At 42.5% G+C, this 27423-nt stretch overlaps 1 protein-coding gene and 1 long non-coding RNA gene across 8 annotated transcripts in view, besides 1 other annotated feature; both read left to right on the plus strand.

The window, feature by feature from the left end:
- The window catches only part of LOC107985467 (uncharacterized), a 53718-nt gene extending 35757 nt beyond the window's left edge, over nt 1–17961 (plus strand). For both annotated transcript variants that reach the window (XR_001737610.2, XR_001737611.2), the window contains one exon: nt 1–17961. This exon is cut by the window's left edge. This is a non-coding gene — a long non-coding RNA (uncharacterized LOC107985467).
- The window catches only part of KAZN (kazrin, periplakin interacting protein), a 1225220-nt gene that overhangs the window by 344878 nt on the left and 852919 nt on the right, over nt 1–27423 (plus strand). The window lies entirely within an intron of this gene.
- Nucleotides 21611–22110: an enhancer, noted in NCBI's record as "H3K4me1 hESC enhancer chr1:14585807-14586306 (GRCh37/hg19 assembly coordinates)". NCBI's record gives its function as "activates a minimal SCP1, AML or CMV promoter by ChIP-STARR-seq in naive H9 embryonic stem cells {active_cell/tissue: H9 hESC(naive)}" and the evidence as "EXISTENCE:reporter gene assay evidence [ECO:0000049][PMID:30033119]".

The raw sequence follows: 27423 nt of genomic DNA on the forward strand, positions 1-27423 counted from the left end.
GCAAGGCCATAGGGATATAAAGATGAATGTTACATCCTGGGATTCCCAGTAGCTCATAGTGGGTTGAACCAGAGCCCTGGCAGGTCACGGACTGTATCATGACAGTAAGAACAGAAACGACAAGGTCCAAGAAGCCCACATGGGAATTCAGCTGTGCCACATGCAGGCTGTGTGTCTCTGGCTATGGGAATCCATTCTACCCTAGAGAGTTCTTCTTCCAATTTATAAAATCAGGTACTAAGCTCATTAACTTTCGGCCTTTCTTCTTTTCTAATATGCAAAGTTAAGGCTATACATTTCTCTCTAGTAGCCTCCAATTTTTTTCAATGACATTTTTTAACAGCTTTATTGAGATAAAATTCACATACCATACAATTCAGCCATTTGAAGTGTACAATTCATGGTGTTGAGTATATTCACAGAGTTATGCAGCCATCACCACAGTCAATGTAGTACCTGCCTTGTAAGGCCATTTTTGAGGATTAAATGAGATAATCTAGGTAAGCAGTAGACCCAATGCCAGACACTTAGTGGGTGTTTCTCTGCTGGTTTTTGTTCATGCTGCTGTGGTTGGTGCTGGGGCTGGCATCATGGAAGGCTGGAAGGAGTAGGTGATGGGACCAAATGAGAAGGAAAAGAAACATGTGAGACCCACTGTCTGGGTGTCCTCTCCAGATGGGAGTGACAGACTGTCATTATTAGCTGCTAGTGGATTCTTTTCCGGCCCTCATATCGAGCCAAGTGAATTCAGTTAACAGGAGTCATTTGGGACTGGGTTGGGTGGGTTAAATTCAGAACTGATTATCATCAGGCCTGGTGGTCACATACCAACATGTTAACAAACAAACAAGCAACAACACGCTTATCCGATGAACAATAGCTATGCTAAATTTAGCTCCTCTTGGCCATCCGGGCTGGAGCCCATGAGAGGCCAGACATCTCTCTGGATGCTTATTTGCTAAAGCACTACAGCTGGCCCTCAGAGGGTACTTGGCCAAGCCCAATGAGCTGCTCCGGAGGGGTGTTGCAATCCTGATGGGGAAAGGATGGAGGACCTGGACTTTTCCAATTTCAGTAGAGCCACGGCATCACACACAGCACTGACGTGTGTTTGCATCACCAGCACAAACACCACCATTTCATTTATTTCATTTGTTACCCTGGGCAGAGGAACAATGCATTCTTAAGTCTGACTGTTTTAAATGGCAAACACGTTCTTGAAGCTGTCACTTCTATGTACACCCAGATAGCTGAGGACTGTGGTTTCATTTGTACTGGGATTGTGATGACTTTCATGTTGCATGAAAACTTTGGCTATAATATCACAGATTCTCTTGGAATTTCAAATTAATAGTTTCCTCTCTCTTTCTTTCTGGCACAAAATGGCTGAACTGCATGTTCTCCAGTCAAAAAGAAAGATTACGTAAGCCAAAAACCTCCCCTCATTTTCCGTAAGTCATGCTTTTGTTTTAATATAGCATTGATCATATGCTTTAGTGGACAAGGGCACACAGAGGTGATGCTTTGCCTCTAGTCTTCTGCAAAATTGCAATTTTAAATCATTCTTGTTTTTCTGTTATCACCCCAAAAGTTTTTTAAGAGGCTGGTTTACGTGGCATCATTTTCTCTGCATTATTGCTGTCAACTTACCAAGCTCTCTGAGTCTGGGGACCTGAAATCTAAAGAGGAAACTAAAGAGTTTGAGCTGACTTTTGTTTTACTTGGCAGTAAATTATACACATAAGTTGGGTTTCTTTTTTTTTTTTTTTTTTTTTTGAGGTGGAGTTTCACTCTTGTTGCCCAGGCTGGAGTGCAATGGCGCAATCTCGGCTCACTGCAACTTCTGCCTCCCGGGTTCAGGCGATTCTCCTGCCTCAGCCTCCCGAGTAGCTGGGATTACAGGCATGTGCCACCATGCCTGGCTAATTTTGTATTTTTAGTAGAGACAGGGTTTCTCCATGTTGGTCAGGCTGGTCTCGAACTCCCGACCTCAGGTGATCCATGTGTCTCAGCCTCCCAAAGTGCTGGGATTACAGGCATGAACCACCACACCCAGCAAGTTGGGGTTCTATAGATCATTCATTTTTAGACCAACTGAGTGTGATTTTGCCTGCTTGGAGACATTTTTGGTTGCCACAACCAACAATGGGTGGGAAGAGATGGTGCTGCTGGCATTTAATGGGTAGAGGCCAGTGACATTGCTAAGTGTGATACAATGCCCAGGACAGCAGCTCTCCCTTGCCTCAACAAAGATGTACCCAGCCCCAAATATTTGTAGTGCTGAGCTTTAGATTGAGTTGTGTATCAGACTAGAGGATGTCTACGGAGATTTGGGGCAAAGGCCTTGACTGTCTATTTGCTATCCTTTGTCTCAGAGCCTTAGCTTGATGAAATTTAGTCTTGTAGACAGGCTGTATGGTCCAATGTTCAGAGCATAGACTTTGAATCCAAGAGGCCTGGACCTAGGCTGAAAGATACCAGTGACAAAACTCACAGATCTCAGCCATTTTCTTATACACAAACTATATCAGCAGATAAAAGGAAACAAGGCCTGGGAAGACAGAGGGAACATGTGGTGAGGTCAGCTCCCTGGTACTTGGGACCTCCTGTGCCCACGCGACACCTCTGTGTGCCTAGACAGGGGAGCCCACACTGTCCATAGGCTCCAGGCATGTGCAGCCCCCATGGGGAAGACACCATTGCAGTAGGACAGCACCTGGATTTTGGTGCCACTTTCTGCTTCCACCAGGAGGTCACACCAGGGGGCCTTGCTCAGTTCCTCTTTCTGCTCCTCGTGGGTTGTGCCCAGGAAGGGGGATGATGACAACAGCCAGGCCCAAATATCCCCAAATTAAGGGGTAACTGGGCTTCAGCAGCATCTACTCCATCCCCCAAGATCCCCACTGCTGCTTCTGGGACCTGCTTATCAGCATCCACAAGCTCAGTCACTAAGTAAGGCTGTCACTCTGCTACTTGGAAAACCACATCTCTTGGGCCTTTTGTCCAAATCTGGGATCTCAAAATTCTTTCTGGGCCATAGCTGCACCGGGTCACTATTCTACACCTATGTCACAGGCTGTGAAATCTTCTATATTGGAGCCAGCTTTGTAGGATTTCAGAATGTTCCACTTCTGTTGGCTCAGGGGCTTTGCAGGGGCATGGGAGGGAGTTAGAGAGGTACCACCAAGTCCATTTCCTGAGTTTAAATACCCACCCCACCGAACTGGGGTTGTGACCTTCAGCAAGATTGTGTTCTATTTTAGTTTGTTTTAAACTTCTTCAAGTCTTCATTGTCTCATCTGTAAAGTGAGGATCACAATGGGATCCCACTTCTAAGGTAGGTATGAAAATTAAATGCAGTCCTGAATGCCACGTGCTTAGCTCAAGTCCCAGCTAAATGGAGGCTACAGAGGACATTGGGTGAAACCACACCTTTCTTATCTTGTTGATGGTCCCAACAACCTTGGGTGGGGCAGCCTCTTTTGTCTCCCTCATTGGGCAGTTACAGAAAGCTACACCTGAGAGGTCACACATCTAGGAAGTAGAAGAACCTGAACTAGAACCCAGGACTCTGGATCTTCCCAGGCTCTGGCCTCCACTGAAGGTGTGAAAGTCAATAGCAATTAGGTGGCTGCCCCATTCATTGACATCAGGGCACTGGAAGGTCTGACTCTCCTCCTCTTCCTTCACCAGACAAAAGAGTCTCCTCTCTCTCTCTCCTACTGGCCCTGAATAGCTCATATTGTCTCTTTTGGATTAAGACACTGGAGACAAATCTTAAATGCACATTTCATTTGGAAGCCAGAAACAGACATATAATAACAATAGTTGTTAATGAAAGGACTTAGCATTCATTTCTTCACTATTTCTGGCACACCTACTGTGAGCCAGCCACGGTGCTGTTCCCTACCCATGTTTTGGCTTACTGACTCCTTCCTGTCCTTGGTGGGTAATGCACATTGCCATCCTTCCCATTTCACAGATGAGGAGAGAGAGGCTCAAAGAGGTACTTGAGCAAGACCATAGTCAGGAGGAGATATGCTGTATTGAAGAGGACTCAACTGGCCTCTGAAAGAAACTTTGAATTGCTGACGTGTGTCAGAAAATAAAAGAAGTTGATTTTCATAATATCTGTCTCTTAAAAAAATTCCAACTTTCTGAGAGCAGAGTATGATGTTTGCTTTCTACTATCCTTTTCCTCGTACCCCACCCCCAAAGTGTGCCAAACCTCCTTACTTGCAGAAGACAATTTTGGATTCTTACAAAAAGCAGCTTCACAGAAGCCATGGGAGATTTTTGCACAAAGCATTTGCCTAATTGGACCCTGTTCTATTTTCTGACCTGTTGCTCCTTGAAGTATCATCTTAAAGATGCTCTCCAGAAAGTGTCCTGAGCCTACATTTTCCCTTGGCTGAAAGACTCAGGTTCTCTCTGAAGATATGTTATACTGCTATACTTAACATTTATTTTAAATAGTGGAGAAAGAAAGAAATCTGAAGACTGTAAACTGTCTAAATAAGAGGAGAATTACACAGATAAGCAGATAATACATCGGTTCCTAAATACCGGTTGCGAAAGATTATAATGAACAGAAAACATTTAATCCACCACATGAAGCAAGAGGGTGACCCCAGAGAGGTTGTCTGAGGTTTCCTTGGGGGGAAGCCCAGCCAGTGTTAAAAATGATGTCTATGAGAATGACAGACCTTCCAGCAAATGTGCTCACCACTTCTTAAGGTGAAAGAGAAAGAAAAACACTGAAAAAAATTACATATGTATTTGAACAACAAATATATATGGAATATCCACTCTGTACCAGCTAGGACTCAGGCAGTAAACAAAACAGACAAAGTCCCTGGCCTTATATTTGGGTGGGGGGATAAGGGAAAGAAAGACTAGAGAATAAAGCATACTATTGCAGGAGATGGCTTTGCTAAGAATGAAAATGAGCTATCAGCCCATAGACTTGTGTCTAATGCAACCATCTGACAAAGGAGGCACAAAGCTAACTTGAACTTTGACCTGTTGCTAGTCCACATTTTCCCCAGCCCCTGCTGTCTCAGAAAGCTCTGTTTCCCAGAATCAGTGTCCTTTGGCAATTCACCATCATTACAAACTCTTCTATATCAGAGCTGCCCAGTGTAGAATCCCGGCCCTTGTCCTTGATCTCTCAAAACGAATACAACAAAAACCAGCCACAGAAATGAATAAGTGAAACAAAACGTAAGAACAGGTCATACAAGGATACGTTTGTATGCATCAGTCTTCTCTGATGATTTCGAATGAAAATGAAGATTAAGTGAGAGCAGCATGTGACCACGAACCCCAAATGGGACATCAGACAGTTAAAAGCCCTTCAATCACATCTCCCATGGGCCACCCACCACATCACTCAAGAAACGTCCCTCCTTGCCCCTCCACCATGCCACTACACACACACATACTGTGTTTCTCTGTTTTCAGTTTTGTTCGCCATTATTCCTTCTCTTGGGCTCTCTCCAGAAACCCAGCATCTTTCTCTTTTCTTTGAGAGCAAATTCGACCTCTCTCCTGTCAGAGCCACCTGCATATACCTGAAGAATCAGGCTCTCTGATGACTAGCAGGTTTCTAGTCGGGCCCTACCCTTTTCTGCAGGCGGAAGGTAAATTTTCCTTTATCTTTTCTCCACCAGTCTCTGGGAGGTGGAGGAGGAGGGAAGAAGAGCAGAGTGATCTATTGTAACATCGACATATAAATAATGCCACTTCATTTAGAACATAAACGTGGCGATGGTCGGTTTTGGTTTAACGTAGCTCTTCAAAATAGCTCCTCTCTTCCTTCACATGAGTATCTGGGTGAAGGTAGGTGAGCAGGAAACAGTCAAGACTATGTTAAGAATTTGCATATGGCTAACAATACCGTACTGTGTATTTGTTAAGATGACCGATCTCATGTTAAGTGTTCTTACCACAATAAAAACATCCAAACAAATAAATAATAAAAGAATTTGCCTGCTCTATGAAACAGTTTGCAAGCTGTTGCTAGGGGCAGCCTTATTTATCTGTATGTAAATTTAAGATGGGGGTCTGCACTGGAACCAGAGGGGAAAGGAGTGTCTAATCTCACTCTGCAGAGAATGGGGAAAACATGTAATTATGCGTGTTTCAGACTAGATGGGATACAGAGCCCTAATGTCCGCATCTTACAGAGGGCCAGCGTAGTTTACCCATCATCACAAACCACAGAGCTACCCTGGGGGAGCCAAGGAAAACCAGGATTTCTGACCCTGGACTCAGTCCAAGAGAGACATGCAGAGTTGAGCGTCCCAATTTTGCACACTCAATCTATCTTCATAGATAAAGTAATAGAAACAACAATTAAACAGAGAAAAATTATCATTAAACATCACCCGCCATGTGGCTTCTGTTAAAACAAACAAACAAACAAAAAACTCTTGAGATATACCCTCTTTTCAGTTCCTTGAAAACTTTTGGATACTCTCTGCCTTGGGACACCTGTGTTTCCTGTTCCCTCCACTTGGATCATTTTTGCTCTGAGTCCTTGAGTGCAAGGCTGCTCCTTCTCATTGAGATATTGCTCAAATGCCACCTTTCAGAGAAGCCACCTCTGGCTACTTTCTCTACAGAAGAAGTAACCTGCCTGCCTGGCTCATACGAACTCTCTAACCCACTATTATGTTCACTTAATTTATTACACATTTCCCTGTTTGGAATCATCTTCTTCATTGGTTCATTTGTTCAGTAATTTATTCATTTGAGTGATGTTTTCCAAGCTCTATGCTAGGTTCTAGGGAAACAGCAGGGAGCAAAACCCTCTGGCCTCAAGGAGCTGAGGTTCTATTGGGACACGATAGACAATGCATCCTACGGACTACATAGAGGGTGATAAGTGCTTGGGGGAAATGAAAGCTGGGGGAGGTAGGGAGTGCTGGTGTGGAGTGGTTAAGGAAGGTGGTTTTGGGGATCTTGGGGGAGGAAGAACATTCCAGGCAGAGAGAACAGCAAGTACAAAGGCCCTGAGGCAGGGGCATGTGGGGTGAGGAGGTGAGAATTGATGGTGAACAGGAAAGCTAGAGTAGTTGGTCAGGGTGAGCAGGTGGGTAGGGGGTGTTGACAGAGAAAGCGTGTGCAGATTGTGTAGGGCCTTGTTAATCAGTGCAGACTGATGCTTTTATTCGGAGCGAGTTGAGGCAATTGTAGTATTCTGAGCAGAAGAGAGGCATGATCCAGCTTGTATTTTAGTTTTTCTGGGATTTTGTCTTGTTTTTTGTTTTTTGGAGATGGAGTCTTGCTCTGTCACCCAGGCTGGAGTGCAGTGGCGAGATCTCGGCTCACTACTGCCTCCACCTCCCAGCTTCAAGTAATTCTCCTGCCTCAGCCTCCCGAGTAGCTGAGATTACCAGTGCCCACCACCACGCCTGGCTGATTTTTGTATATTTTTTTACTAGAGTTGGGGTTTCACCGTGTTGGCCAGGCTGGTCTTGAACTCCGGACCTCAAGTCATCCTCCCACCTCGGCCTCAGGAAAACATGTAGGAGGCTCTGGCTTTTCCCCAGGCAGGAGAGGGCACAGGCAGGCATCAGGTTGGTAGTGTGTGTACACACACACATACATACTTACACAAAAGAGTGAATTTGTGTCCATGTATTCTGCTTGAGTACTGCTCCTCTGACTTGACAATATGTCAGCTGCATCTTTCCATATCAATAAATGGGGAGCTATATCATAATTTTAGTGTGCTCGTATTATTCCCTTGCATGGATGTACCATAATTTAGCTGGTCCTGAATTAAACACTTCGGCAGTTTCACATTTTTCACCGTGATAAAAAAAATCCTGCAGTGAACATTTTTGAACATATATCCCTGAGGACTTGCTTGTCCAAGTACATCTTTGAGATAGATTCCTAGAAATAGAATTGTTAGGTCACAGTCTATAAGGGGCTGAAGGATTTTGATGCATAATGCCAAATTGCCTGGGAGAAAATGTGTACCAAGCACATCCCCACCAGCTGTGTTCCTGTTTCCTTATCTCATTTTAAGTATCATCACTGTTTTTATTCATTGCTAAGTTGATAGATTAAAAAATATGGTATTTCTTCCATTTGACCCAGCAATCTCATTGCTGGGTATATACCCAAAGGAATAGAAATCATTTTATTATAAAGATACATGCATGCATATGTTCATGGCAGCACTATTCACAATAGCAAAGATATGGAATCAACCCAAATGCCCATCAATGATAGACTGAATTTTAAAAATGTGGTACATATGCACCATGGAGTATTAATGTAGCCATAAAAAGGAACAGGATCATATTCTTTGCAGGGGCATGGATAAAGCTGGAAGCCATTATCCTAAGCAAAGTAATGCAGGAACCAAACACCACATGTTCTTACTTATAAGTGAGAGCTGAACAATGAGAACATATGGACACAGGGAGGGGAACAACATACACTGGGTCCTGTTGGGGGAGATGTTGGGGATGGGAGGAGCATCAGGAAAAATAGCTAATGCATGCCGGGCTTAATACCTGGGTGATAGGTTGATGGGTGCAGCGGACCACCATGGCACACATTTACCTATGTGGCAAACCTGCACATCCTGAGCATGTACCCCAGAACTTAATTAAAAAATATATAGTATTTTTTGTTGTTATTTATTGCCATTTCATAGCTTTACCCATATTTTATTTGGGCTATTAGCCTTTTATTAGTATTTAAGAACACTTTATTAAAAACATATTACCATAAATGTTGCAAAATTGTAAGGATTTTTTCATATAATCTTTTTATTTTTTGTTTTGGGAAGCTATGAAATATTATATGCATATAAAAATATATAACACACTTATGAAAGATACAAAAAATAAACACCGTGTACTCCTGACCCAGCTCAAAGAATGGAACATTTCCAACACCCCGATTGCATTCTCTTTTCCCCCCAGCCAAACTAATTACTCGATGGTGATGATTCCCTTACTGTTCTTTATAGTTTTGCCTAAACTGTAAATCTTCATAAACAGCCTAGTTTTAGTTGTGCAATGTTTCGAGCTTTATGAAAATAAAATCGCACTTTATGTATTTGTCCATGACCTGCTTTTTTTTCAAACAATATTATGTGTGTGAGCTTCCTTCAGATGGAAGCCTAGCTGTGGGTCATCTCTCCCAGTGCAGCTTTGTAAAAATGTCTCTAGAAGTGTGATTTCTGAGTCTCCAGAAATGCATATCTTAAAATAACCCAGCTCATGCCGAATTATTTTCCAAAGTGGTTTTTACCAGTCTATAGTTTGTTCGGTACTATATGAAGCTTCCAATTTTGTTCACATCCTTGCCAAGGCACGTTATTGTCTGACTTTTAATTACTTTCCTAATCTAGTGTATATGAACACTAGATTGTATGGGAGTAGATAAGGAACATTTCTTATTATAAAAAAAGGCAAGGTCTTAGAAGAAGTGGTTACATTTTTAAAAATACGGATTTTTAAAATATTTGTTTTACTCTTCCTAGAATACTAGGAAGGCAAACTAACTTTCTTTCATTAGGCTAGAAGTGAATAGAACTTCAGTTAAAAATCAAGGTAATTTTAAGGTCAGAAAAACAAGCTATCTGGGGGACAATGTGCCAGAAGAGATGGTTACACTATTAAAAAACCAAATGCTCTCCTCTTTGGGCTTGTGGATAAGATCGGTGTTAGAATGCGCTATCAAAACAAGTAAAAAGGATTCCTGAACTAATTTCTTCTGAATCAACATTTAAAAACATTCAATTTGCTCTCAATGTTCAATTCCCATTTATAAGTAAGAACATGAGGTGTTCGGTTTTCTGTTCCTGCATTAGTTTGCTGAGGATGATGGCTTCCAGCTTCATCCTTTGGTGCAGAAAGGAAATGGGTAGACCAATAGGTAAAGAAATGTGTTTTCTCACATTTTAGGAAGTGCTTCGTGATCGATACGCATCAAATGAGACCATTCAAGGTGTGCACATAGTCTAGATTGAGTATAGATTCTTTATATGTAGATTTCTTTGATAATGTCATTTTACTTTACACTTATGACAGGTTCATGAAAGTGAGAAACGTTCTAAGCACTGCAGAATAACTGCTCATCCTTTCCTTTTTGCTTTTTTTTTTGGGTGTGTGGCAATAATCTTCATGTACGCTGGCAGGCCAAACATCTGGCTCATGTGTGTGGGAAGCCAGTTGCTCTTGTACTACACATTTCAGCTGAGAAGTACTGAGCCTGCTGACAAAATGCATAACCTAATTAGGCGTGAACTCTAACGCAATCGGTGCTTGTTTTTGCAGGTGTAAAACGCCACTCTCAATCTATTGTGTTTTCTTCCCAGGTCTAAAAGCATCACAAATTAGTAGGTTTGGAAAGCCAGGGATTTCACAGGCAAAAGTTGATTGCATAGATGCTCCCGGGTTCATTAACACCGAACATAAGCCTTTCTGAGAGCAACCGTGGGCTTTGTGTTTGAAACAATATGGTGGTGTAGTCATAATAACACGGGAATTCCAGACAGGAGACATGGATTCTAAACTCCTATAAATGAGTTCTGTGACTTTAAACACGGCCCTTCCTGTCCAGGCTGGCATTTTCTCACTTGCAGAGTGAGGGAGTTGGACATTTTCACTAAACATATATTTGTTAGCATTTGCTGTGTACCAGGAGCCAAAGTAAAAATTATAAAGCATGGTGTCTGTTCCTTAGGATGTCCACAATTTGGAGAGGGGTGACAAAGAAGAATCGGACAGCTCCAATATGGTGAGACTAGCAGAGGGTGTGGATGCCACAGAGCAAAGCTGCTCCTAGCCCAGTTCAGAAGCTGGGAAATGCTTCTCATGGAGGTGGAACTGCTACAGGGCCATGGAGGATGAAGAGGGACTAGTTAGGAAGACTGGGAAGGGGAGAATGTTGTATGACAGAAGTATGTGCAAAGGCACAGCAGTGTGAGAATACAGTGCTACCTGTGTCATATCTGAGGTCCTGTGGTACTTTTAAAACATGTTCCCAAATTCTTTGACACTCTTCCCATGGACAGGTGGGAGTCATGTCCCCTCCCCTGAATCAAGGCAGTGTTGTAAAGAGGGTGAAACTGATGCTATGTGAGACTAGGTCATGAAAGGTTCAGCAGCTTCTACGTTGTTCATGGGGACATTCACACTTAGAGGCCAAGCAGCCATGTTAGAAATCCAGCTATCCCTAGTCCGCCATACTGGGAGGAAGCCCAAGCCAGTCACATGGAAAGGCCATGCGTAGGTGCTCTGTTTGGAAATCTCAGCTAAGCCCCCAGCCTTTGTATTGATTTTGCTCAGGCACCAGATATATGAGTAAAGAGACTCTCCATTATTTCAATGGCAAATGATTTACATCCTGCCTGCTAAAGCCCCTGACATAATGAAGCAGAGACAAACCATCCCCACTCTGCTGTTTCTAAATTCCTGACCGACAGGATCCATGAGCACCATGCAGCAGTTGTTGTTCTACACCATTAAACTTTGAGGTGGTTTGCTACACAGCAATGAAGGATGGGAATGGGTCTGTTTCAGCTCTAAAAGTTGATTATTCGGTAAAACTCCAAAACTAATTCCTGTTCTTCAAAAAGAAAGCTCTGATTATGTGAACTTTTGAATTAAAGAAAAACAGTTGCAGAAGGATCAAGACAGAGATTGAATTATTCAGAGAAATTATCGTCAACAAACCCAAACTGGTTGAAATTGCAAAATGAATTTATCGACCCACAAAATCAGGAAGTTCCAGGTGTGAATCTAGTACTACAAGATTCAAGCATTCAAGAGATGATTAGAAACCAGTCCTCTCCAATTCTGCATTCTGCTTTGCTCCGTGCTGTCTTCATTGTCAGGCAGGCACTCCCCAAGGGGAAGCCAGATGGCCAGACCAGCACCCACTGAGCCCCAGAAGAAAGGGAGTCTCTTTACGATCATTTCAGCACATGTCCCAGGCCTGTCTGCTGTTCCCTCACTTCCATATGTATGAATTCCATACCTATGGCTGTGGCCATGGGAAAAGAGGTCCCTGATTGGCCAGGTGGGGCTGCATTTCTACCTGTTGAGCCAGAAACAGTGTCTATGAATCCTGAATGTTGAAAGAAATGAGGTTCTCAGTCTTGTATTATCAGAAACAGAAATGAATACTAAGTGAAAAAAAAAACAGATACCCCTTAGGCAGAAACTTCTTCTTCTGCCCACAGCTGTCCGTTTGGCATAACCTGATACTACTCGGGCTTCCTAGAACTATCCCTTTTACAGGTTTAATTAACCCCAAAGCAGCAAAAAAGCAGTTATGCCTTCAGTACAGGTTCATGAAAGATATTTTCTAGACTTACAGAGTTTGGAGATTCCTAATATTTAACCATCCCTTCCATTATTCTCTTTTGCTGTTAATAAATATTTCTGAATTTTACTGATTAGTTCCTTTATACACATGTTTATTCAGTAATAAAAATGGAAATAGCATGCCCAAATTACCTTCAAAATAAGCCAATTGTTAAAAAGCAGGAAGTATTTAGTTTCATGGATCTTATGCTAATCATTACGTTTTACTCAAATAATACAATATAAAGCCCCCAAGCTCTATAAATACACTCATTTTCCACATGTTCTTTTGCTTCAGAATCTTAATGTTGAATCTCACCATCAACTTCGGGATTCTAAGACACATATATATGAGATCCGGGATTTTTTTCTTGGGGTCAATCAATAAAATGGAGCAGAAAGAAACAGAATCAGCAAGACATTCAAAACTTGCTTTTTACATGATAGATAAAAGATGGAAAAGAAACAGAGATCTAAGGAAGGAAAAAGACAACTAACATCACAGAAACAATATTATGAGAGTTAAAAAAAAAGTTGATGGTGAGATTCAACATTAAGACTTTGAAGCAAAAGAACATGTGGAAAATGAATATATTTATAGAGCTTGGGGGCTTTAGTTGTATTATTTGAGTAAAACATAATGATTAGCACAAGATCCATGAAACTAAATATTTCCTGCTTTTTAACAATTGACTTAGTTTGAAGGTAATTTGGGCATGGTATTTCAACTTTTATTACTGAATAAACATGTCTATAAAGGAACTAATCAGTAAAATTCAGAAATATTTATTAATAGCAAAAAAGAAGAAACTAAGGGATGATTAAATATTAGAAATATTTATTAACAGCAAAAAAGAAAAAAAAAATCGATGGTTAAATGTTAGGAATCTCCAAACTATAAGTCTAGGAAATATTTTTCATGAACCTGTACTAGAGGAGGCATAACCAAAACAACAACAACAAAAAACATGTTTCCCCTTCCAGAATGCCCCCTAGTGAACCCAAAATTACCAGCAGGAAAGAAAGGGCCTAACCCTGGAACTGAAACTATGTAATCTATGCTTGTGTGATTCCTCAGCCTAATTCTGGGGTCTTCCTCATTCCAGGGTTCTCAGAATTCCATCCACGGAATGGGGAACATTGACATTGCCAATGACATTGAAGGATCATCTGTTTACCCACTGTGACCACCATCACTTCTCTTACATGAGGAAGAGGCTCTTGTTCTCTTTAAAGATGATAAGGTTGATTGAGATAGAAGTCACTCAGTCTTAGAAAGCTCTCAACCATTCCCCTCCCCGGCATAGCCTTGTCCTTGCACCATCTCCAGGAAGGCAATGTCTCTCCCTTTCTTGTTGGGTTATCTCTTCTTTGTTGTGTTGTTGGATCCACCATCATTTGGGAAGAGAAGAGGGATAGGGTCAAAAGTTGCTGTCATCTTGCTCAGACTCCTTATTAAGACATTCTGGGAGGGAGGAAAGAGAGACTTCTATGCCTTTCTGGAAGTTTCCTTCAGCTGCCATCTGGGATGTCTCAGAAGATCAAGTTGTCACTGGGGTAGGTCCAGAAAAATCCAGGCACAGTGAAAAGTTCTCCCGGACTTTTTTTTTTTTTTTTTTTTTTTTTGACACAGGGTCTCACTCTGTCACCAGGCTAAGTGCAGTGGCATGATCATGGCTCACTGCAGCCTTGACCTCTTGGGCTCAAGCAATCCTCCTGCCTCAGCTTCCTGAGTAGCTGGGACTACAGATGCATGCAACCAAGCCCAGCTAATTTTTGTATTTTTTGTAGAGACGGGGTCTCACTATGTTGCCCAGGCTGGTCTTGAACTCCTGAGCTCAAGTGATCCACCTGCCTCGATCTCCCAAAGTGCTGGGATTACAGGTGTGAGCCACTGTGCCCGACCCTCCTTGGATCTTGTGGGGAGCTTGTGAAGGTGAATTTCTAGATTCTCCAAATGTTAGAAAGAGGCCAGGAAAGGGGGACACTGCAGTCTTGGAAGAGGAGCCCAGATTCAACAGATGCTCAGCAGTGAGAGGAAATAAATTAGCCCTTTCTTCTTGTTTATGTCATGTCTTTCTCTCTGTGCCTCCACTGTAGAATGCTTTTATCTATAAATGTGTTTTTCAAGTTAGAAATTACAGAGATCCAGATGTTCCTAAGGAGTCTTCTCCATTTGGTTTCTGTTTTGGTCACAAAGATGGATGTTTTATATTCAGATCTGTTTCCTTGCTAGTCATAAGCTGATGGATAAACTTGGAGTTCACACTACCCAGAATGACTTGTCTATGACAGCATCTTATTATCATGGCTTTAATTAGGGACTGGCATTTGTGTGGTGGTGAATTTTCTCCAGATCTTATTCCTGGAGATACCTTAATGATACCACTGCCCCATGAATTGCACTGGCTTCCTGTCTGTTTCTCAATCTTGCCAGGGCCTTTCCTACCCCAGGACCTTTCCTCATGTTGTTCCCTCTGCCTGGAACATTCCTGTCCAGCAACTCAGGCAACTCATGCTCTTCCTTCAAATATCAGTTCAGGGGCTGCCTACTGGGGTTGCTCTGTTGGTATACATTCCCTACTCCATCCTATTCCATATAGCTCTTAGGAGGATTCAAATGCTTAAACAAATCTTTAGACATACACTTGATGGGTATTAGCTCTAATAATGTTTGCTATATTATTAGTTAGGATAAGTGATGTTAGTTTCATCAACAAATAAATCCCCACGTCTCAAGGGCCTAACACAATAAATTTATTCTGCACTCATCTTACAATCCGTTGTTGGTTCAATGCAGGGGCTGTACTCCATGTAGACATCAGGGTTCCAGGCCCCTTCCACTGTGCGGTTCCATCATCTAGGCCCTCAGGGTGTACCATCAAACTGTTTGCATCAACTGGCAGTTGAGAGAAGAGAGGGTAGAAAATTCTGCAAGAGGTTTCACAGGCCAACCTGGAAGTAGTGGGTGTCCTGTCTTTCCTTCGGAAAAAGTTTAGCAGTTTGTTGTAAAAATAAATATACACTTACTATGTTACAAGTCAATCCCACTCTTGGCTACCTACTCCAGAAAAAAGAGAAAAAAAAAAAAAAACGGCCCCACCCGGTTACCGGGGTAGAGTTATATAGTCCAGCTGTTTGTCCAGGAAGAAGAGGAGGACCATGGTTGTTGGTGAAGCACTAAGCTTTTCTGCCATATTATTACGATTATAATAGTTATTCCCAAGTCCCATACAGCATTTTAACAACCCACCTAAAAAGTACCCTACCCTTGCAGATTCCCTTCTTGCTCATCAAGCTTCTCGGCCTAAGGTCATATTTCTTCAGAATTTTGAATCATAAAGCACAGTGAAGTGTTCATCACATAAGGTAATAGCTATTTCTTCTTAAGTCATTTTATCTGAGTTAATGGCTACTAATGGGTTAATATATAATTGTCCATAGGACTATTTGCATTTTGAAATAAGACTCATGGAGAAAAGAGAAACTGAGTTAGAGGGAGGAGATATTCGGGCTTTTGGCAGGTGGCAGCCTTGTCCTTTCAGGTAAAATCCAAGGAGAGGCCTTGGTGGCAATTTGTTCTTTCTTCTTTCCTTTCCAGGTGTAATGGTAACTTCTGGGTAGGGAAGGCTGCCTCTTTGCCTCCATGAACTGAGACTTTCTACTGCCCACACTGTAGCCTCCTTTATTCTCCCCTCTGCAGACTGCTAAGAGAGAGCTCTTTGGCATACAAAATAGGCCTCGGACTTCCTTATCAGGGTGCTTTCTTTCATTTCATAGAGCCCTCCCCGGCCAGATATTCATGTCGCAGATGTATGAGCTCCTGCAGTCATTATCAATCACTGAATGCTTAACAAATATTTAATGAATGGCTTCTATGAGCAAGCGAGACGTGACATTCTGTAATGGTGGTTGGGGCGGGGGGTGGGGGTGCATGCATTTTTGGTTTCGTTTATTTCATTTTTGGAGTTTATGAAATGTCTTAACTGTTAAGTCACAGAAAAGGTTTCCCACATAAAAAACATAAAAATCTGTTCTATCTGATCTGCTTTTATGCATTTTTCTAAGCCCCTGGTTTTCTAATTAGGGGGAAAGAAGAGGAAGTTTTATTCTCATACCCATTATGGCATGTGACCATGGTTCAATTATATTTTTCTTTTGGCTGGATAAGGGTAATGAATAGATCTTTATCAAATAATTTGATAGACATTGTTATATCCAGCAACTTTTGCTAATACAATGCACTTGGAATCTCATCTGTGTTTGAAGTTTGCACCGACATCTGCAGAAACTCAGAGAGAAGCTCCCTAGGGATCATCTCTGGTATTTATGACCTGCATCTCCACGTCGTTTTGCAGAAGTGAAAGCTGCACTCGACCATTCCTTTTGTTGGTAACTCAAGCCAACAGCCCCTAATGGCTGATTGGATGAAGGAGCAATAACAGCCTCAATATAGTGGGGTGAGGTTCTGAAATCAAAGACTGATGTAAAAGTGGCAAATGGTCAAAATACAGCCCCTTAAATTGTCCATGCAATAAATTATGATGTCCGCCCAGAATTGGAACAGCTCATTATTTTACGGCTAAGCACCAGATAAAATAGTAGGGGACTTGCAGGCTAGGTCATTCTTGCATTGCTATAAAGAAATACCTGAGACTGGGTAATTTATTTAAAAAAAAAAAGGTTTAATTGGCTTACGTTTCTGCAGGCTGCACAGGTATGACACCAACATCTACTGAGCTTCTGCGGGAAGCCTCAGGAAGCTTACAAGCATGGCAGAAGTTGAAAGGAGAAGCCAGGCTGGACACGGTGGCTCATGCCTGTAATCCCAGCACTTTGGGAGGCTGAGGCGGGTGGATCAGGAGGTCAGGAGTTCGAGACCAGCCTGACCAACATGGTGAAACCCCGTCTCTACTAAAAATACAAAAATTAGCCAGGTGTGGTGGCATGTGCCTGTAATCCCACCTACTCAGGAGGCTGAGGCAGGAGAATTGCTTGAACCGGGAGGCAGAGGTTGCAGTGAGCTGAGATTGCGCCACTGCACTCCAGTCTGGGCAACAGACCAAGACTCTGTCTCAAAAAAAAAAAAAAAAAAAAAGAAGAAGAAGAAGAAGAAAGGGGAGAAGAGGAGAAACCAGTGTCTCAAATAGTGAGAGAGGGAGTTGGGGGGCGGGTTGCCACACTTTTAAACAACCAGATCTCATGAAAACTCACTCACTATTGGGAGGATAGCACCAAGCCACAAGGGATCCATCCCTATCACCCAAACACCTCCACTAGGCCCTACCTCCCTCATTGGGGATTATAATTCAACATGAGATTTGGCAGGGACATATATTCAAACTAATCAAATGTGTTTCATGATCTTTTTTTAGATATATATTTTTATGTGTGTAGTCAAATATAGTCAGCCCAGCAAGACGGAGGCTCACAGAAACGGAGTTTCATAAAGGAATGGCATCTTCAGTTCTGTCGTCCAGTACTGGGTTTATGCATATTGAATGGAATTATGGGAAGAATGACTTGCACCAATCAGAATGTTCCATCCATCTACTGGTCTATGTCATAGTTTTATACAACTGACATCAGCCAAAATAAAAGTTGCACGGTGTGACTTCCACAATGGTCATGGGTGCAGTACTTACAACCTGTCTGACACTGGGCTAACCCCTTTACAAGTGTGACATCGTTTTATCTTCTAAAGAACCCAGTGACTGAGGTAGTATCATTATGTCCATTTTATAGATGAGTATTTTAAATCACTGTGAGATTAAATAATGTGTTTGGGTAAGTGGTGAGCAAAGTAACAATTTGAACCAAGGACTGGCTGCCTCCAAAGTGTGCACTGCTGTGTTATGCTGCCTGGTGAGTCATCCCTGGTAACCCACTCTAGGCAAGAAAATGGTTAGAACTGAGCTAAACCCAGAAAGGAAGTTTGATTTCCCTTTTCTTTTGTAAATTGGAGACTCTCTGTCGCAGCTTCTCTCCCTCCTAAGTGTCTGCTTTCAACAAGTCCTAAATAAAATGATTGTTACTCTTTAGATTTAGTTCCCAGAGCTGCTTTTTTGCTAATATCAAAACCTATTACTAAGTTCTTTTCCTAATCCTTCTATGCTGTTAACTCAGGAAAGATGAGCTCTCCAAACCTGTATTTCCCGGTGCGTTGGAGTTGCTGAGATTCTTGCAAATGGTATTGCAACTCACCCTGGTGCTTTCTTCTGTCCTCAAAGATGAGCCAAGTGTCTCTGGCCACACAATATTTAATATGCACACTGTTAGCAGAAATTAGACACCCCATATTACCCACCCCCGCAACTTCTACATTATGAAGTAATGGTCTTACTGAAATTCAAAGGAGAGAAGGAGAGAGGGAAAGGAAGGAAAGAAGGAAGGGAGAAAGTGAGGCAGAGGGGAAAGGAGTAGGAAGGAGAAAGGGAAGGAAGAGAGGGAAGGAGACAGAGAGAGGAAAGGAGGGAGGGAGGCAAGAGAGTACCCTGTTATTCACCTGTCCCCTGAGGTCTTTATTTAGAACATTCTAGAAAAAAATGGCAGAGGAAATTGCATTGGCTTTCCAGTTGGGTCTTCTCGGAGCCCATCCCTTCTTGGCTGTGTGATTGTGGCAACTGATTTAGGTTTCCCGAGCCTCAGTTCTGTCATATGTAAGGGGCAAAAATAACAGCATTTCACCCTAAAGAATTGTCAGCAGGATTAAATGGGATAACATATTTAATCAATATGGCACAGGATAGTAAACCTAAATTTACTCTCCCCATGAAGGGCTTTAGGGGTCTTTTCTACTCATGCCTATTGTGAATTTCTCATTCAGTTGCAAGATCTGTAAAGGCATCGATGATGCGTTCTATTTCTTTAGGAAGTGTTCCTCTCCCACTCCTGCCCCAAATGGCACACTCAGTCCTTGCTTGATTCCCACAATATGACAAAATAAGCATGTTTGACTGACTGATCCTCTGCTCAGAGGCTGTAACAATGTTTAATTACCCTTTTAATCAGAAAGTTCATCCTTATCTCTTAGGTCCCTTCTGCTATAATTTATCCTTATTTTTGCCTGTTCAGCCCTGGATGTAGTGTATGTCCTTATTTTTAAAGGCATCATTGAAAAGAAGGGGGAAGGGATGATATCTCATAGTGGTTTTGATTTGCATTTCTCTGATGGCCAGTGATGATGAGCATTTCTTCATGTGTTTTTTGGCTGCATAAATGTCTTCTTTTGAGAAGTGTCTGTTCATGTCCTTCGCCCACTTTTTGATGGGGTTGTTTGTTTTTTTCTTGTAAATTTGTTTGAGTTCATTGTAGATTCTGGATATTAGCCCTTTGTCAGATGAGTAGGTTGCGAAAATTTTCTCCCATGTTGTAGGTTGCCTGTTCACTCTAATGGTAGTTTCTTTTGCTGTGCAGAAGCTCTTTAGTTTAATTAGATCCCATTTGTCAATTTTGTCTTTTGTTGCCATTGCTTTTGGTGTTCTGGACATGAAGTCCTTGCCCATGCCTATGTCCTGAATGGTAATGCCTAGGTTTTCTTCTAGGGTTTTTATGGTTTTAGGTCTAACGTTTAAATCTTTAATCCATCTTGAATTGATTTTTGTATAAGATGTAAGGAAGGGATCCAGTTTCAGCTTTCTACATATGGCTAGCCAGTTTTCCCAGCACCATATTCTCACTCATAGGTGGGAATTGAACAATGAGATCCCATGGACACAGGAAGGGGAATATCACACTCTGGGGACTGTGGTGGGGTCGGGGGAGGGGGGAGGGATAGCATTGGGAGATATACCTAATGCTAGATGACACGTTAGTGGGTGCAGCGCACCAGCATGGCACATGTATACATATGTAACTAACCTGCACAATGTGCACATGTACCCTAAAACTTAGAGTATAATAAAAAAAAAAAACATTAAAAAAAAAAAAAGAGAAAAAAAAAAAAGAAAAGAAGGGGGAAGGGTAAGAATGGGGGAAAAATTAGACAATTTGATAGAAGCTCAGGCATTTATATGAAGTGCAAGAGACTGAACGGATGAAGAGAGAGAGGAGAGCCTGAGACCCTTCATCACGGTAGATCACAATGAACCCTCCACCGTCCCAAAACTGTCCCAAAACTGTCCCAAAACTGTATTTTGGGAAACATTTCAAGATTCTTTCTTTCTTTCTTTCTTTCTTTTTTTTTTTTTTTGAGACAGAGTCTTTCTCTTTGACCCAGGCTGGAGTGCAGTGGTGCAATCTTGGCTCACTGCAAGCTCTGCCTCCCGGGTTCACACCATTCTCCTGCCTCAGCCTCCCGAGTAGCTGGGACTACAAGTGCCCGCCACCACGCCTGGCTAAATTTTGTATTTTTTTTTTTTTTTTTGTATTTTTAGTAGACCACGGGGTTTCACCGTGTTAGCCAGGATGGTCTCGATCTCCTGACCTCGTGATCCACCTGCCTCGGCCTCCCAAAGTGCTGGGATTACAGGCGTGAGCCACTGCGCCTAAAAAAACACAGAGTTCAACTATAATTCTGGAAGAAAAGCTTCTTTTGCTATTCGTTTAATCTAGAATCTATACCAGGGAGAACCAAATGCATTGGCGAGTTAAGCTGCTTTGCTTCAGAATATTAAATTCATTTCTCAAATGTTTGACTTCATGTCAGTGGTGAGTTTGTCATCAGACCAGGCTGTGTTTAAGTCCCAGCTCTGCCTGCTACCTGTCTGTCAAGCCTCTGTGCAAGTTGCTTTTGTTCTTAGAATCTCACCTGGAATGCAGGTGACTACAACCTCGCAGGAATATGTAGAGATTAAATGATTTAATAGAAGTAAGAGAAGCTCACCTTGCTGTCTCCATGGTAAATGGTCAACACACGTTTATTGCATTGGCATCTCAATTTTGCAAAGTCCAAACAAAAGCAAAATGCAGAGTAGCTCCAAATTTGGAGGGATGGAAAGAGGAGAGGTAATCACGGGGCTGGGCGTCAGGTAGAGAGACTCAAAGGTCTGTCAGGTTATTGACATGTCCAACGAGCTGCGGGACAGATGAACAAAGGCACACTTTCAACTCGGAGTTGAAGTCACAAAGGCCGATGGTTTCTGCTTGGAGATGAGTGAAAGGTGGCTCACGTGGCTAGGCAGCATGCATGCCGGGCCCTCCTGGCTCCGCACTTGGTGTCGGATTCAGAGAGTATGCTGGGAGCACGTGTGCAACTCCACTGGGACAGTTTGTTCCAGATGTGCACAGCTGCGAGCCTCTGAGGGCTGAGGGCCAGGGCTTTCTGTAGGAAGTATATTGTGCTCCTTTCCCTTCCCCAATGGAGCTGACGGAGGCTTGCACAAGCTCCTGCTGTGCCGAGCTGGGACGGCGGCCATGGCACAGAGACAAGCACGTGATGTACCCAGGCGCTCCAAACATCAGCACCAAGACCTCCTTTTTAACAGTCCAACCCTCTGAGGCACGCCTTTGCCTTTCAGTCTTAGGAACATCCCAGCCTCACCCCCCAAGTGGCCTGGCAAGACCTCCGTCCATCACATTGGCCTGGCTGTGGTTCAGGAATCATCTGAAAGAGGCACATTCGTTGTGTTAGCCTGAGGTTCATCACCATTTCCAGAGGAGATGCTAGTAACCCCGGACATGAGACAAACTGCTTCCTTTGATGCATCCTCCTGTCTGGTTAGGAAATGGCAGAGGTAGGAATCTTTGATGCAGGGCTAGACACACAGCAGCTGCAGGGCCTTCAGAAGGCTTTGGAAAAACTAGAAGGTTTTCTCAATGACTTCATCCCACTTTACTTTGTGACAGTGACTTTGGGTGACCTTGTGCCTTTTGACTGGGTCCAGGAAATACCAGAGCTGCAGAGATATTGATCACTCTCCCCTTGAACATATAAATGGGCTGTTACCAAAGTGCAAGGTTTTATTAAAGCACAACGCAAGCGGATTTTTCTTTTGAAAATGGAACGGGGTTGTGGACTCTTTTATTCCCATTTATTTTCTGAGTTGGCTGTTATCACCGTTTTCAATTTCTACACTCCTGAAGTCGGTCTTCCTTGTGTCTTGACAAAAATTTCACGACCTCTTCCCCTTTCATTGTTTCCCCTATTTATTTATTCACTCAACAAATGTTTACTGAGGTCCTGTGATATGCCAGGCACTTTTCTAGATACCAAGGAGACAGCAGTGAGCAAAACAGACAGATATCCCTGCCCTCGTGGAACTGATATTCTAGTGTAGGAGGCACACGATAAACAAAAGAAACAAGTAAAACCTGCGGAATGTCCGATGGGGTAAGTGCTTGGAGAACAGGAAGACTTACAAGGGAGGGAGGATGGTCTGGACATTTGAGCAGAGGTTTGAAAGGGTGAAGTAACCACCCAGAGAGCACTGCAGATGGAGAGAACAGCAGGTGCAAAGGCCCTGGGACAGAGCATTTCGATGACCCGCATGGCTGGAGCAGGGTGAGCCCATGGGGACAATAGGAGAGAAGTCAGATAGGGGGATGTAGAGTTAGGTCCAAGGTTACAGCTGGATGGAGACATCATTAACTACGATCCACCTGAAAGACAGCCTGAGCCTGGAAATAGCTCCATTCTTTGTGAGCAATGCCACAAAGTCGTGAGTAAAGGACACGGGCCCGGCTGGCAGGCACCAGGCTGCTCAGCTGTGCACATTCCCACATCAAATTCTGTAGCAGTTCCTATTTGCCAGGCACTGTTTCTGCACTATGTATATAGTCGCTAATTTAACCCTCACCACACACTTGTCAGATGGGTACTGTTACTGCCCCATTTTCCAGATGAGGCTCAAAGCGGTTAAGTCGCCGTCACAGGTTTCACAGCTGGTAAAGTGAGGAGTTGGAATTGAAATGAGGCAGACGGCCTCCAGGGTGCATGCTCCCACTCATGGAGCCACATCTGCCTCCCTTGCTAACACGACAATGATACCTGTAGTAATACATACTCTTTACATGTGAACACACACAGCATGCTGTTATGTATAGTATGGGCTCTGATTTTAATACATGTCTTAGGAAGACAGAAGTTAAGACGGCAACTATTTGCAAGAAGTTGTGGAACTATTCAAAGGATCAGTTCTAAAGCTGTTTAAAAAAGTAGGGTGGGGAATTGGACTTCTTGGGTTCAAATCCTGGCTCAGCCCCTTACTATTGTGAGATCTTAGACAAGGAATCTTGCTGGTCTGAGACTCAGTTACTGCAGCTGTAAAACAGAGATAGACAAGTAGGTATTTCATGAAGATGCATTAAGGATAAATGAAATCATGTATCTCAAAGTCCTGGCACAGAGGAATAAATCAGGAAATTTCAGCTCTGATCATCGCCATCAATTTATGATTATTATTGTTGTAATCTAAAGTTTCCAGGACTCGGGTTAAGATACGCTGGGTCCTCAGGATGGAGCTGAATGGTCCCCGGGGGCCAGATCAGATTTCTGATCATGAGTGTGTTTGCCTAGCTATTGATTTTCTGCGTGGCCTTTTACCAAGTTGCTGCTTTACCTGCCTTTGTGCTCATTCTCCACCGACGAGGCACTTAACCCTTCCAGAAGGATGTGAGGAGGCGGAAAAATCGTTTGTAAAATCATGCTGACATTTGGGGGTGGAAGGTGCTGAGGAACTGTGAGGCAGAGTGTTTCCCTTCCAATCACCCTCCCAGTCCGATTGGTATTCATCTTGGAAAGGTCACTCTCTTGGCTTAAGAGTTTCCTGTGACACTCGAGCTGCAGCTTAAACGAATTGTTCCTGAAGTCTGTCTTGCGGTACTTGTCACTTCAGTCTTTCTCCTTGCTTCTGGAATTCAGTGGGGAAATTGCAAGGGCTCCATCTCAACTCCTGCTGTTAAGCTGAAGGAGGTCATCCGAGACCCACTTTACCTAAATGCCGTGGTCCCCAAATGGTGGTGGACAGATGACCACTGGCATACATCATGCTTTTAGGGGACACATAGAAGAACCCTGAGATTTTAATAGTCATGTATGTATTTAATCTATGTTGGAGAAATATAACTAGCATATCAAACCAATGATGCAAATTTTTAGAATTAAATTTGTATATGAAAAATAAAAGTGAGTTGTTTTTGAATATTAAGAAGTCTGGGTATGATGACTCACCCCTGTAATCCCAGCACTTTGGGAAGCTGAGACAGGAGGATTGCTTGAGCCCAGGAGTTTGAGACGAGCCCTAGCAATATAACAAGACTCTGTATCTATTAAAAATAAAAATTTAAAAAGAATATTAAGCAGACCATATAAGTGGTACATAGCTATGGCAGAAACCCCTCCTTGTGGCTCTTAGATGACTAAAATTGGTAAAAGCACATTCTGTAGATAACCTATGTGGAAACTTTTAAAAGCCGTAATTGCCAAAGCTGTAATTGCCAATAGCTTTGGCAATTGCCGCTTTTAAAAGTTTATAACTTTCTACATGTTGCTGGTCATGTTAGCCACTTCACCTCTACTTACTTTGCTGACTAAATTCTACGCTAGAGCCTTGTTTTAGCTCTCACATTCCACACTGTGGAATTCAGTAGCTTAAGATGGGTCACCTGCCTTGAACACTGTCCGATGTCATTTAATACTGGAAGGACCCCCATGATAAAACCACTTTAAATCTCTGTTCAAAAACCTTGTTAAGCCCTCTGTTCAAATTTATTGTTTCCACCAGTTCTGTAGTAAGAAATACAGGCTTTTCTGAGAGCCATTTCTCCAGCTATCTCCTGTAAGGCAGTTTGTACAAGTCGTAAATCATTCGGTCGTTGTTACAAGAAGCCATAATGAAATCTCCGGCAACACCAGGCTTGTAGCTAGAACTGAGAATAGCTGTTGAGAGAGGGGTGTTTTATTCCCCTTTAAAATCAGAGTGGAAATTTACTGCCTTCTCCACAACCTCTGTATAACACTCTGTAACTAATAAAATTCCTACCGTGTGATCCGTGGGTTTTATTTCTAAGTCAAATCATGTGGCGTGCATGCGTGTATATCCATTTTCCACTCTGAGCTGATTCAAGAACTGTTGATGACTATTTATGACTTTTACTATGTTACTCTGAGATTTTAGCGGGAACCCAAACCAAGTGTCTCCATGCAGTTTACCAAGTTTTTTGAAGATGCCTAGAGCTCAACTTTACTTCCCAGGGTTTCTTTAAGCCATGTTGAAAGCCATAGACCATAAACCACAAACCCCTAGGTCTATTGTATGTTGAGCAGAGAAGATAAACTGATGTAATACAAATGTCAGCTAATTACAAAAATCAGTTCTTGTAACAACTCGAAAGATGATCTGGGTTTAAATGAGATAAACAAGCAGGGTTGTGTGTTCCTCATTTTTAGATGGCAAGCTAAAATGTCACAGGGTGTGCTCTCAGCTGTCAGCCTCTAATCTAATTAGACAGGATAATTGGGGAGGCTGAGCTTGCTGATGGTTGACAAACATATTAGTCTAATTTCATTCTCTCTAATATGACTCTGGCAACCCTGAGCTTCTCTTGTCATCACGTCAGCCAGGAAGGATTCTGAATGCAAAGACAAAACTCTGGTTTGGTTTCAGCGATGATTTCTGGGTATAGAGATTGCTGCTAAAGGGAAAAAGTGTGGGAGCGGGGGCAGGGTGGGGCTGGGGTGCAATTCAAACTGTAAAAGCAAACTAACAGAAAGGATGGTTTGGGATTTGTATGAGGTAGAAATGTAAACTGAACTGCTAAATAGTTATCAAAGAATATCCCTTTTGCTATGTTTAAGGACACGCAGTGAACAGAGCTCAAGTTGACAGCATGCTGCCTCTTAGAGACCTACTGGCACAAATCGCTAAGAATGATTTATCACCATCTTTGAAGTTATGCATCTGCCAGGGGGATAGTCAGCCAGGATGCCCTGCCTTGGCCTTCTGGCCATCTGACTGGTGGGTCGTCAGCTCCTGGGCTATCTCAGCTATTAATTATTTTTAATATCTCCCCTGTTGCATTAATTTTTATTTTTAGTTTGCTGCTATAAACTACCACAAATTTAGTGGCTTAAAACAGCACACACTTGTTATCTTACAGTTCTGTAGGTCTGAAATCAGGGTACAGTGTGAGTCAGCTGGGTCCTCTCATGGAGTCTCACATAAACACGGCCAAAGTGGCAGCAGGACTGTGTTTCTTTCTGCAGGTTCTAAACCTAAGTCTGCTTCTGAGCTCATTCAGGTTGTTGGTCAAATTCAGTTCCTCGCAATTGTAGGACTGAAGTCTCCATTTCTTTGGTGACTGTCAGCCAGGAGTGGGTGTTTGCTAGAGGCCACTCACATTCCTTCTCATGCTTGACACAACTTCTCTTCCAGTCACATCAGCTGCTATGATTTTAATGTGTCCCCTAAAACTTAATCCTCAATGCAACAGCGTTGGAAGGTGGAACCTTTAAGAGGTAATGAGTTCATGAAGGTTCTGCCCTCACAAATAGATTAATGCTGTTATTCCAGAAGTGGGTTAGTTATCAACAGAGTGTGTTCTTGATAAAAGGATGAGTCCTACCCCCATCCTCTCTCTCTCCCACCCTCACCCTCTCTTGCCCTTCTACCATCTGCCATAGTATGATACAGCAAGAAGGTCCTTACAAGATGCTGGTACCTTGTTACTGGACTTCTCAGCCTTCAGCACTGTGAGAAGTAAATTTGTTTTCCTTATAAATTACCCATCTGTAGTATTCTGTTACAATAACACAAAACAGACTACGACAGTGGATTAAGTACCTTTCATGCTTCAAATCAATTTCCTCTTCTGCCACATCTCTCTGACTCCAAACAAATAAATTTCTCTGCTTTTAATGGTTCAGTAATTAGATTGGGACAGTATAGGTAGTCCAGGAAAATCTCTATATTTTAAGGTCTGTAACCTTTGTTACATCTGCAAAGTCTCTTATTCATGAGTGATTAGGGCATGGACATCTCTGGGGAAGGAAGGGATAAATTGAGTGACTTCCAGGTGATTTATACATACATGAAAGTATTTTATCTTCATATAGTTTAAACATTCTCTCCTAAGTCTTATTTATATCAATAATTTTAGTTTAACAAGTGTTTTATTTTCCATAACTAGCACAAAGTTGAATTTT

Source organism: Homo sapiens, chromosome 1 (assembly GCF_000001405.40).
Source record: "Homo sapiens chromosome 1, GRCh38.p14 Primary Assembly".
In the NCBI taxonomy this organism is placed as follows: Eukaryota; Metazoa; Chordata; class Mammalia; order Primates; family Hominidae; genus Homo; species Homo sapiens.